The sequence below is a fragment of the Homo sapiens genome, chromosome 18 (assembly GCF_000001405.40).
Source record: "Homo sapiens chromosome 18, GRCh38.p14 Primary Assembly".
In the NCBI taxonomy this organism is placed as follows: Eukaryota; Metazoa; Chordata; class Mammalia; order Primates; family Hominidae; genus Homo; species Homo sapiens.
Window position 1 is genome coordinate 53,232,461 of NC_000018.10, and position 13,183 is coordinate 53,245,643.

A 13,183-nucleotide genomic window follows, 5' to 3' on the forward strand; every position below is an offset into this window, starting at 1 on the left:
GTATTTCATGAATGATGCTGACAAACTGCATGTCTTTCATTCTCTTCATGCCAGGCTCTGTCTGACTCACATGCAAGACCTCTTCATGTATCTTTGTTACATTTTATCTTACATTAACCCCACTGCTACAACCTCTCAGGGTACCTTGTGTCTTCATGCACTTATTCAACATCAATAAATGAAGGTTAGTTGTACACCTGGAATGTGTCCGGCTAAATCGAAAATGCTAATTCTGTGGCTCAATTATTTGACACACCATTCCAGCAATCTTCTCTACCACTTTATTTCATCCACCATACCCAGGCCATATTTTAATCTTGTTTTCTTCTCCTCGAAGCGACTTTCACTAAAAACCTTAAACTTCAAAACCATCCTATATGACAGCCCCTGTGTTCATCTGAATCTCTAATGTCTCCGCTCTCAATAAACTGATTAGCTGATAAGCCTCATAAACACTTTCAACTTGCTCCTTTCTTTTTTTTTTTTCCCCAGGTATTATTATTCTTATTTTCTCACTCTCCTTTTAAAACTGGACCTTGTGGTTGATCAAGTGACTAACCATATTCTGCACCCTCAAGATTTATTTTATTTTTGCCTTTATACTATCATCATTTATCTCATATAGTCCTGATGAACTACCTTGCCTGTTCTTAAGGTCAAGCTAATCAGTGCTATGGGAGAAAATCCTATAATGGCTGAAAAGCATAGATATGAATGACCCTAAAAAAGCCACTAAACCTTTCTACATGTTGACGTTCTCCCGTTCTTTACATGTGTCATCATACCAGTTATTAATCCAATTCACCTGTAGTGTCCTCCCTATTTCTTCATGTAATTCACAAAAATAATTCAAATATTCTGCTTTACCCCAAAATACACATTTTTTTGCCTATATCCAAAAGGTCAAGTAATATGCAGGGATAGATCTAGCTCATTTTCATTCAAACTAAAATCATATCAAGAAACAGTTTTCAGTCTTTCTATACACTTTTTCCCTAGAATATTTGAAGCCGATTTTTTTAGGTAATTATTCCAGGTTTCCTTTTCATCTTATTTCCTGCGGTTTCAAGGTCAACATATTTATCATATTTTCATTCAAAGCCATAACAAAAATGAGTGATAAACAGAAAAATGATTTTCCTGCTTGACTTCCTGTTTATTCTGCTAAACTATAATCTGATTTTACTTAAAACTCTTCCGAGTTACCTTTGTGAATAATTCACCAAGCATGTGAACCACTGCTTATATAACTTCATGATTGTTATAAACACCTTTTTTATGTGGCATAGTTCAAGGCTCGAACCAAAAGTGAGATACAGGAATGAAGCAAATATGTTTGTCACTCTTTCTCATCTCAAAATGTATTGGCCAGGCCAGGTACAGTGGCTCAAGCCTGTAATCCCAGCACTTTGGGAGGCCGAGTTGGGTGGATCACCTGCGGTCAGGAGTTTTATATCAGCCTGGCCAACATGGTGAAACCTTGTCACTACTAAAAATACAAAAATTAGGACCAGGCGCAGTGGCTCATGCCTGTAGTCCCAGCACTTTGGGAGGCCGAGGAGGGCAGATCACCTGAGGTTGGGAGTTCGAGACCAGCCTGACCAACATGGAGAAACACCATCTCTACTAAAAATACAAAATTATCTGGGCATGGTGAGGCATGCCTGTAATCCCAGCTACTCTGGAGGCTGAGGCAGGAGAATCGCTTGAACCTGGGAGGCGGAGGTTGCAGTGAACTGAAATCGCACCATCGCACTCCAGCCTAGGCAACAAGAGTGAAACTCCATCTCAAAATAAAATGAAATAAAAAATACAAAAATTAGCCGGGCGTGGTGTTGGTCACCTGTAGTTCCAGCTACTCGGGAGGCTGAGCCAGGAGAATCGCTTGAACCCAGGAGGCAGAGGTTGCAGTGCGTAAGATCACACCACTGCACTCCAGCCTGGGCGATAGAGTAAGACCCTGTCTCAAATTAAAAAAATAAATAAATAAATAAATAAAATATTGGCCAGTCAGGTTTTTTTCTGCTTCAAGACCCCAGATATCACTCAACCCCTGGCCCAGTGTCTCACACAAGTCATAAGTAGGCCCTGTGAAAACCCTCACTCTCTTAAACAGTGACTTAGGGTCACGTGTTTAAAAGAAAATTAGTTATAAAATCACCCAAGCCCCTCATTTTCAAGACTGTGTAAAATATAGGCACATCCAAATCCCTTGGCAATTTAGTGACAAACCTGAAATCTGACTCCAGTTTTTTACCTAAACCAGTGCTTACTCTGGATTATATCAAAAGAAAACACTGAGGAACACACATGTGGATTCTCAGTGAAGTGATAATGCCTTTTAATAGCTAGATCTCTTGAAGAAGTAACAATTTGTTCTGTAATTATTGATTTAAAGCTGAAGCTTTTGATGACTAGATGGTTTGTTCCTTTCTTCTTCTCTTCCTCCTTGTAAATATATTCATTTTATCACTTACACAAGACAAATATGTGTCACAAACGGACAGTCATATAATTTTTGTTTGAAAAACCTCATGAGGATGGGTGCCCTCTAGATAGCCAATTTCCATTCTTTTCATTCTAATGTTAATGATGTTATTTAAAGTTATTGGATACACAGCATCAAATGTCATTATTTCAAATGACTTCATGACACAGGGTTCATTGTGTAAGGAATATCAAGTAGAGGTTCTCAGGTGTTGTCCCTTTAAAATGCAAGGGGAGAAATGCAATTGCTATTTTTTATTTAGTTACCTAATGCCTGCCCATCATGTCTTTTTGAATTTGGCCCAATAACTTATAATTAAAAGACTCATTATCCCTGCTGGATGTGGGCACAAATTCACATTATTTCCATGGAAGCCTGTCTGCTGTCTCACTTTAATGAAAATTTAAACCCTTTAGAATGACATGTGATGCTTGGAATTATTTATCTTTTGTCTGAGTAGAGTTACAAGAAGAAAGAACTCCTAGAAAAATAAGTCACTATTTCTTTCTGCAGATTCTTGTCTTCCAAGTAAGCATTCTTTTTTGTTTGTTTCTGGAAAGATTGACAGAGAAAACTATGAAAGTATCAGTTAGAGCAGAAAAAAATTATGGACTCTCCCACCTGTGCACTTTTGACCTGGTATTTGGCTATCTTTTGTACATGTAGTAAAATATACATAACACAACATTTACCATTTCAACTGTTTTTAAGTGTACAATTCATTGACGTTAAGTATATTCATAGTTTTGTAACCATCAACATCATCCATCTCCAGAACTTTTTCATCATCTCAAACAGAAACTCTACACCTCTTTAACAATACATCGCCGTTCCCCTCTTCCCTAAGAAACTGGTAACCACTATTCTACTTTCTGTCTCTGAATTTGCCTATTCCAAGCACTTCAAACAAATGGAATTACACAATATTTGTCCTTTGGTGTCTGGCTTATTTTGACATGTTTCTGAGATCCATGCATGGTATTTAATATTATGGTAAATTTTTTGTTAAGTATAATTCCATTGAATGGATACACCAAAGCATCTTTGATGAATATTGGATTGTTTCCATTTCAAGGATATTACAGATAAAACTGCTGCCACACTGTTGGAAAAGGCTTTACTGGACATAAACTTTGTCTCGTGTAGATATTTAGAAGTAAAACTACTGAATCAGAATTTAGATGTATGTCTTACTTAATTAGAAATAATTTTCCTAAATGATTATAACATTTTGTATTCGCAACAGAGGTATATGGAAATTCCAGTTGTCCAATCCCAACCAACACATGGAATTTGTTGACATCTTAATTTTAGCAAATCTAATAGGTATACAGTTACATCACCTTGTGGCTTTAATTTGTATTTCTCTAATAACTAAAAGTGTTGAATATTTTTTCATATATTTGACCATTTGAAGATTCTTTTTTGCACATTACTTTAGGTTGAATTGTTAATCTTCTAAATTATCAATGTGTAGAAATTCTTTACACATTTTAGGAAAACATTTTAATTATATTTTGGTATTGTTAACATTTTCTACAAATTGGAGGCTTACCTCTGTAAGTTGGAGGCTTTGGTATTGTTAGTATTTTATACAAATTGGCGGCTTACCTTTTTACTTTTTTAATGCTGTCTTTTGATGAGCAGATGCTGTTTTTATTTTGTTAAAGTCAGAGTTATTGATTTTGACCTTTTATGATCTACTTAAGAAAGTTTTGTTTACCCCAAGGTATAAAGATATTCTTCTATGTTTTACTAGCTTTTACATTTAGGTCTGTGATACACCTTGAATTAATTTTTGTGTATAGATTAAGGAAGGGGCCAAGGTTATTTATATAGGTATCCAGTTTTGTCGGCACCATTTATTAAAAGAGTTCTCTTTCCTCATTGAATTATTTAGTGCCTTTCTTGAAAACAGTTGACCATATATGTATGCACATTTGTGTCTATTTCTGGATCTTATTCTGTTCCATTGATCTATTTGTTTATCCCTATGGTAGTACCATGTGGTCTTATTTGCTATATCTTTATAGCTCATCTTGAAATCAAGCAGTATTAAGTACTCTAATATGGTTCTTTTTTTTCCAAAATGGAATGTAACTATTTATATATGTTTAAAACCGTTACTCTCCACAAATATATATATATTATATATTCTACTGAGAGTACAGATCTTTATATATATGATCATTATATGTATGATGAGATCATTATATGTATGATCTGGACACCCAGTAGAATCTAGCTCATTAGATTGTCCTTCACAGTTAAACAATGCAAAGCCTATAGAAGAACATTATGCTAAATATGTGGGTGTGTGGGTGACTGAGATAAAATAGAAAAAAAGGCTAAATGTTTTTGGGGTACCTGCTATCTGCCAGTATTCTGCAAAGTGTTTTATATATCTTGGCATATTTGAATTTAATTTTCACAAAAATTCTGTGAAGTAGTTATTGTCTCCATTAGTGGATGAACAAAGTAAGGGTTAGAGAAGTAATTTGTTCAAAATATTTAACTCGAATTCCTTTCATCTTTGATGGTCACAGCCAATCAGTAGTCATATTGAGTGCTCATGCAGGGTGCCTGCTTTGTGGTTGACAGCTGGATTTTCAGCTAGTGACAGGTTTGCTATATTAACCTAGTCAGTTGTCACACTGACTAAACATACAATTTAGAGCGTAGTTTTAATAATTCTGTGACAACTCAGTATACCTTCCATAAAAAAATGCATCTAAAAGTACATTATTTATAAGTGAGTTCTTGTGAAAGAAATCAAATTATAATTCCCATTGTTTTACAAAATCATTATTGAGTATACAAAGTTAAATAAAAATAACATTTATTTCATCAAAAAATGTCTGACAAACCGAGCTGCTGGCATTAAGCATTACTAGTTGTGAAATTATGTGTTAGTCACAAAATCAATTTAAATAAACAACTAGATTATCATCTTGCCACCCCTGAAAACAAAGACCTTAGCACAGAATCAGATTTAATCTTCAAATCTATTACTTACCAAGAAAACCTAAGAACACAATTTGTTTGAAACCTTTAAACCTATTACTTTCTAAAAGAATCTCATGGAGCACTGTGCTTGACCTTCACAGGATAAACTTTGTAGATGTCAGGGGTTCAAAGCAATTTGTTTCTTATATTCCTTGAATTTATCTACTATATGTTGCTGATTATTTCCTTCATGACAGCTGTTTTTACTTATGACACACAGAAATGCATTACATTTTGGAGAATTGCACTTGATTCTACTCTTCCAATAGATATTCTAATTTATTATCTGATACGTAGTGTTGGGTTCTAGGTGAATCATGACTCCTAGAATTATTCAATGTGAACACTTTATTGATGATAGATGTTACATTAACATATGGTAGTTGTGTTCCATAAGACTGTAACTATTTTAGAAATATGTTCACAATGAGACATTAATCTTTTAGTTATGCATATTAATCCTTATAAAGTTTTATGATATACACAGAATTGAAATATTTCCATTTTCATTTAAGATGAAGAAACAAAGAATCAGAGATATTGATATTTGTCCAAGCACTCACACATTTCAGGGGTCCCTTTTTCTTATAAGCTTTTTGTGTCCAAGCTCTTATAAGCCTTATGTGTCCAAGCTCTCACACATTTCAGGGGTCCCTTTACTTAGAAGCCTTATAATACTAGTAAACACTGAAAATGTAAAGATATATGAGAAGTATGAGAAGTATCATTGCAACTAAGGAACTCAGAGCCTAGAGGACTGAGACAAGCAGCCAAACATGTAAAAGTGAAATTGAAAAATGCTGTCATACAGGTATACTAAGAGGAGAGGAGAACCTCATTGTATGGGTAAATTTTCCTACATAAAGTGAACCCAGAGCAATCAGACAGCTAATATTTATTGAAAGGAACAATGTCTGTTATGTGTCATGTAAATTAGCCATACCTAGTATTATTTAACCTTCACAAAACTCCAGCAAACTATCGCAAGGACAAAAAACCAAACATCGCATGTTCTCACTCATAGGTGGGAATTGAGCAATGAGAACACCTGGACACAGGAAGGGGGACATCACACACCGGGGCCTGTTGTGGAGTGGGGGGAGGGGGGAGGGATAGCATTAGGAGATATACCTAATGTAAGTGACGAATTAATGGGTGCAGCACACCAACATGGCACGTGTATACATATGTAACTAACCTGCACGTTGTGCACATGTACCCTAGAACTTAAAATATAATAATAATAAAAATAAATAAATAAAAAATAAAAATGAAAAAAAAAAAACTCCAGCAAAGTCCATTACTGTTCTCCATTTTATAGTTACAGAAACTGGAGGGAAGAAAAACCTAAAGAATAGAAAAGATGAAATAACCCTTTATGGTTCCTCCCAGGTAGATCATTTTGGGGTTTTTCAAACCACAGAGTCACTGCACCATGAGTTACTTCAGTTTTCTTCCTTGTTTCCAGTTAATCATATTCTCTGCTCTAAGCTCTTTAGTGATAGCTCATGTCACAAAAGGCCAGGATGAGAGATGATGGTTGTGCTGATAGGTGAGTGAATTCACGGAGCAGAGACAGAAATGAGGGAGAACGCACCCAGAGAAAGGTGCACAGGGGCTTACATCACTGGGCCCTTTGATTGGTGTTTTTGACATGAACACAAAGAAAAATATTTGAAAATGTCAAACAAAACCTCACTGATTTTCTACCTTGAGTAGAAGAATTCAAATGTTTTGAATGCTTAATATTTGATCCCAGGAATCAGAGAATTGTGGGAAAAGACCTCCAATTTTTCTTGGTTTCAATTCAAGGGTGTTCAAAATGATATACAGTATTTTACATGGCCTATTCAAAAAATTATTTTATTTTGAATAACCAAGGGCTGATAATATAATTCATGCCTTTTATCTTAGCATGTAAAAGTGCTACATAAGTAGAATGGTAGCATAATACACATTTTAATCAGAACAAGGGCAGAGCAACGAAGGCAATGCTTTTTATTTTTGTTAGAGGAGAATGGTGAGAAAATATAAAAAAACATTTAGACATTCAAAATTCTAGTTCTAGAGTTAAAAAAAAAAAAAAAAAAAAAAAACAACAAAACACTTTTTCCCCAATGTGTAATATGCAATCAAAAGCACTCATGCCTCTACTGTTTTCCAGAAGAATAAATATGAAAGTTATAATTACTATGAAAGTTATAATTACTTTTATATTAGACTAGATTTTTTTCTGGAGATGTTTTTAAAAGGGGAAGAAAAATCAGATAAACTTATAGACATGCTCATATTTAAAAATAAATGAAAAAGCCACAAAAACAGTCAATAGCAAGCTTCCATCTTTACTCCTTACACTGAATATTTTCCCATTTCTGAGGCTGCCTCAATTCATCTTATGTCTTATCAAGAATTGTGGGATCAACAATCATCTCTGTGATTGTCATAGTTACAATAAATTTTATATATGAAAAGCAGAGGAATAAAAGCTACCAATCCTGGGTTTACCACTGGAAGGATCAGAAGGAGCTGTCCCCTGTTATCCAGGTAGGAATATTTGTAGACAATGTATTAAAAAGTGATCTTCAAGGCATAAAAGGTCTTGGTGTCAGACTCAATATTAAGTCCCTCTTTTCATTTGCTTGACTTTTTATAGCTAATTAACAATCTAGCCATTGTTTCCCTTATCTGTAAAATGAGACTAATACTAGGTTCCAACTCTCATGAGATTGTCGTTGGGACTAAATAAGATAATGCCTCTAAATGCACAGCACCTAGAAGAGGTTGTCATTATCATTTTTATCATTTAATATTTCCATTTTTCTCTGAGGCTATGGCTACACTCACAAACTGGCTTGTCAGATTCTATTTTTAAAAAGATTGCATTTAGTTGATCCATTTTTCAGATATTTGTAATAGTTACAGATAACATTTTCACTTTTAGAGAGTCTTGTTGTACTGTTTGCATATTGTTTAAATGCATAGAAGTATTGTTAGGGCACTAGCCTATGCTCTTGGTGCAGAAGAGCCACTGAAATGTGCTGGGGAGTTGGAAAGTCCTCAGCAATATTACTTACCTTCTTGGTAACCGAGATCTTTGAGCTTCTGAAAGGACCTTAGTTCCCATAAACAATTTGACCCTGAGGCTGGGAAGTAATGTTATTCCAGGAGAATGGATGAGAGTGATCAAAGGCAGAGAGATGAGGAGGTGTAAGGTGAAGTCTAAAGGTGGGGCTTGAGAAGGTGGCTTGGTATCTTAAATTTGTGACTGTCAAGGGCTAGGCTAAGCTGGAGAAATCTGATCTGCTTCAGGTCAGAGTAGCCATTAGCTGATCAAGAAAACAAGCCGAGATGAAAGTGACAGTCAAGCCTTTAATCACTGAACTGCAATTGTACAAGGAAGAGGTTAACCAGAGAACACACCCATTCTCCCCAGTCCTGCTTTCCCCCACGGAGCAGCACCTGTGGAGGGTCAAGTGGACCAACATAGACAAGGGGTTGTCTCCCTGATGAGGGAGCTCTGAACCAAAGCTTCCCGCAGTTTCATGGTCCCTGGGGCTGGAGAGGTGGAGAGGAAAGAGCTAAGAATGGGAAATTACTGCACACTGAGAGTGGAGAAAAGTGTCTTCAAGGTTTTCTTCTGCTTCCGCCATAAAGAGAACCAGGCAGAGGTACCTCTGCTTGAAGGCCCAGACAAAGAACCTCTGAATGATGGTGCCTGGGCTGGAAATACAGATGTGCATAAGAGCATGGCCAGCCAGGGCGAATGAGTCCTTGCCTGCAACTTCCTTTGGAGGTTGCAGTGGCTGCGCACTAAGTCTGGTATGGGGAAGGCAGGTTCCCTCTGTGTGATCTGCCAGGCAAAGCCTTTTTGACTGACCATGGCCAGGTCTGGAAAATCACACATGGAGTTTTAGCTAGAAGCCAGACTCCTCAATAGAAGGTAGTCCTATAGATCTCCAGTAATAGTATTCAATCAGGCAAAGAGGAAGTCAAATTGTCCCTGTTTGCAGATGACATGATTTTATATTTAGAAAACCCCATAGTCTCAGCTCAAAATCTCCTTAAGAAGAGGACTTCTTAAAGCATGCGCAGTCTTTTTAAAAAGTTTTCCTGCTTCTCTTTAGTTGCAACAAAATTTTTCAAACAGGGAAGAAATGGTGGGCTTGTAGTAAAGAACAAACAGGAAGACTGAGTCTTAATCAATCACTGGTAACAAAGGGAAACTACAGCAGCTGCAAATTTCAAGGGAAGACAAGTGTGTTAAAACATTTGATTTAGAAAGTAAAGGAGAGCTAATTGGCTAGTGTAGACCTGTAAACAACCTACAAAAAGACCTATATGCTTAATGATATAAGTTTCCAATGGGACAGCCAGGAAGATATTACTTTGTAGTTGTTCTAATTTGCATTTAGGACTAAATGAATTGGCATACATAAAACACCTAACACATTATCTGAAACATAGTATTTGTTCAATCGATATCTGCTCCATTTTCCCAAGTAAGTTGAAGAGGGGGTAAATATACAAAATGACCTACTCAGTGACTATATATTAGATACCTACTACTGTAAGCTTTCTTCATGATAAGGTAAGGCCATTGCCTGTAAAGAGTATTTATTCTTATTGGGGACATAGAAAATGAAATTTAACCCTATCATGATAGTATCTAAGAACCAAATAAATGCAAGAAAGTAATAGGATACCACTGTCAATGACAACCTGTTGTTGGCATTAAGAGTTTACACATCTCTACAAAATATGCTGGACAGGCCTGATACACACCATGGGTCAGTTTTCCAAAAAAAATGTGCCAGTATCACATTATCCAATCTTTCACATACTTTTTATAGGCACTGAATAAAAGTATCCTTATCCTCCCTAGGGGATAAAGGTGTCCAGACCTATGATGACAAGTAGGTGTGTGTGTGTGTGTGTGTGTGTGTGTGTGTTTGTGCATCTGGCCAGTGAACTTGCAGGGTGCAAGCTCTCACTTGTCAGTGCTCATTTTGAGATATGGCAGTACCATAAGTGGTAGGTGAGAGGACCCCAAAGCTATAAAAGTTGTCTGATTATGATTCAAGAAGGAACATTTTTAACATGTTGAACTGATGTGACTCAAAGCTGTGAGCATTTCTGGATTGAAAAGAAAAGCAGAATGATGAGAAAACAGTCCTATTTTGGTTTATGTGGCATAGATGCTGGCAAGGAAGGAAATGTCGCTTGAGCTATCAAGGAGTCGGGTCCTCATTAGGAGTGTGAAGACAACATCTGACTGTATTGTGGATTTTCTGGGGGAAGAAAGTAAACACCTCTTTCTTAAAGAAGAAGAATCATGTAGCACAGCTGGGAAGACACTTCAAAAGTGACCATTGAGAAACATATCAATCCAAACCCTGAGAGTTCAGGAAGGAATTGGTGCTTGGCTGCTGTCTTTAGCAATCACGTTTTAAGGATCTCCTTGTGCCAGACATTGAAAATCATTTCAAAGGCTTACCAAGGAGACAAGTATTATTCTCTAACCCACCAGAGGCTAACAAATGAGATGAGGCAGGGACTAGTTGCCTCTTTGTTTCTGAACTGTTCACAGTAGCTTCCATATTAGTTTAATCAAAGGATGTAAACTTGGCAAACTCAGAGTGCTCTCTGGGAAGAAGAATAATTTGCTGGCAGATTATGTGGTTTAAGAAGCTGCAAGGAAACTTAATGCTGCTGAACGCTTGGAAACTATCATCAGGATTCAGGCTCTACCTCTGAGATTATCATGGAGTATTAACGACATAATGTTTGTATACAAAACAGGGTCACTCAACTGAAGTGAAGGGTTAAGAACAACAGATCTGACTCCCCGATTCAGCTGATTCCTCTGAAGAAATGGAAACATAAAAGTCTTCTCTTTCTTTTTATTAAATATTTTATAAACTCAACACACAAATCTTCTCGTTAGCCAAAAAAGCAAGCTTATGAACTGTCCTCAGAATTTAACTTGACAAATGCAATGCCCTAAAATTCTAAGCAATCATCAAAAGCAGCAGATAGGTTCCCAGATGATTATGAAAAATATGAGTTTGCTTCTGCATAATATACACAGTTTTGTATCATTAGATATCAGGCTATTATACTGCAGCAGATGTAACCAGATGTGACGGATTTTTCAATTCACTTTCTCTTGTCACACTGAGTTTTTTTCTTTCCACCATGGAAAACTGAATGTTCTTCACTGGAAGTTTGATACTTTATTATCTTAATTTCATTTTATAAATCTGAAAAATATTTCCCTTTAAAATAGGGATCACCTACAGAAGGGATGATGCTCTACTTCCAGTATGTTATTGCATGGACTTACAGTTAAAAACCAGTGATGGGGTTCCTTTTACCAAGTAGCTCCATGCAATCCTCAGGATAATTTTATAGGATTTGAACCAAGTGTCCTAGTACAGATATGTTTTGGTGATCTATTGTTATGGAACATACCACCTTAAAACTTAGTGGCTTAAAACAATAACTTATTATCACTTGTGATTTTGTGTGTTGACTGGGTTCAGCTGTGTGGTTCTTCTGCTTTATGTGACATAAGCAAAGTCTATATCTAGGGATTTGACTTGACTGAAGAATACAAGATGACTTACTTGCATTGTTGGCAGCTGATGTTGGCTTTGTCGGGAACTCATTTGGGACTGTTCACTTATGTGCCTCTTATCTCCACGTGGCCTCTCCTTGAGGCTTGGACTTCTCACAATATGGCAGCTGGATTTCAAGAGGGAGTGCACCAAGTGGAATGGGATTACACAAAGCTATGGTTCATTGGGGTCCCTTTGTAGAGGCTAGAAGTCACAATTTGGAATCTGGTTTACATATTCCTAATTTATCTTTACCCCAGAATCACAGTGTGTGATACTGTCTATGAGATACCCAAATTTAGATTGCCTATACTATATTAAGTCATTCATCCTGCCTTTAGGGGATAAAAGCAATATATCCTATCATTTTAAATGATTAAACATTTTAATATTCTCAATCTAAATGTGAATTAGCATCAGTGGTGGCTTAGTTACTTGTGATCTTTAAATTTTCTCACTTCTGTCTGAACCTCAGTTTCATGAGAAAATGTAATTAGAGTCATATATTTGGATGCCAGAAATACCATCTTACTATAGTCCATGCTAGAAGAAATCTAAGAATTCACCTAATTCACCCCCTATATTTTTGCAGAAAAGAAGCTGAAACCTGTGAAGTTATGATTTGTTCAAATCTTCCTTCCCCATTTCAATCAGAGCTGCTTCTCTGTCATCTGCTTTATATATTGTGACTCAGGTATAATTTTATTTGGAATCTAAGTCCGATAAAATAAAGTTTGAGAAAGAAGCAGCATAGTTAGTGGTTAAAAGCACAGACTATGAAGACAGACTACCTTAGGCTGTGTTCTGTATGCTCTGTGCCTCAGTTTACTCATTTGTTATGTGTGGAAAAGTAACATCACCTGCCCTACAGAGTTTTTATGTGTATCCATGAGCTTATGTTGGTAATGTACTTGGAACTGTTTCTAGCATATGAATAGAATTATGTAAGCACTGGTGAAATAAATACATTTCCTTGAAGTAATGAGAGATGCAGAAAAACATCAGATATGTCGGTTTACAGTTCAAATTCAGGCCCTAGGAGTATAATGTTTCTCCTTTCGATGGTATATTT

At 36.3% G+C, this 13,183-nt stretch overlaps 1 protein-coding gene and 1 non-coding gene across 6 annotated transcripts in view; both read left to right on the forward strand.

Moving 5' to 3' along the window:
* Positions 1-13,183, forward strand: part of DCC (DCC netrin 1 receptor) — a 1,195,703-nt gene that overhangs the window by 892,264 nt on the left and 290,256 nt on the right. The window lies entirely within an intron of this gene.
* MIR4528 (microRNA 4528) lies at positions 4,641-4,730 on the forward strand. The gene has a single exon (NR_130465.1). It is a non-coding gene; the product is annotated as a microRNA 4528 (primary transcript).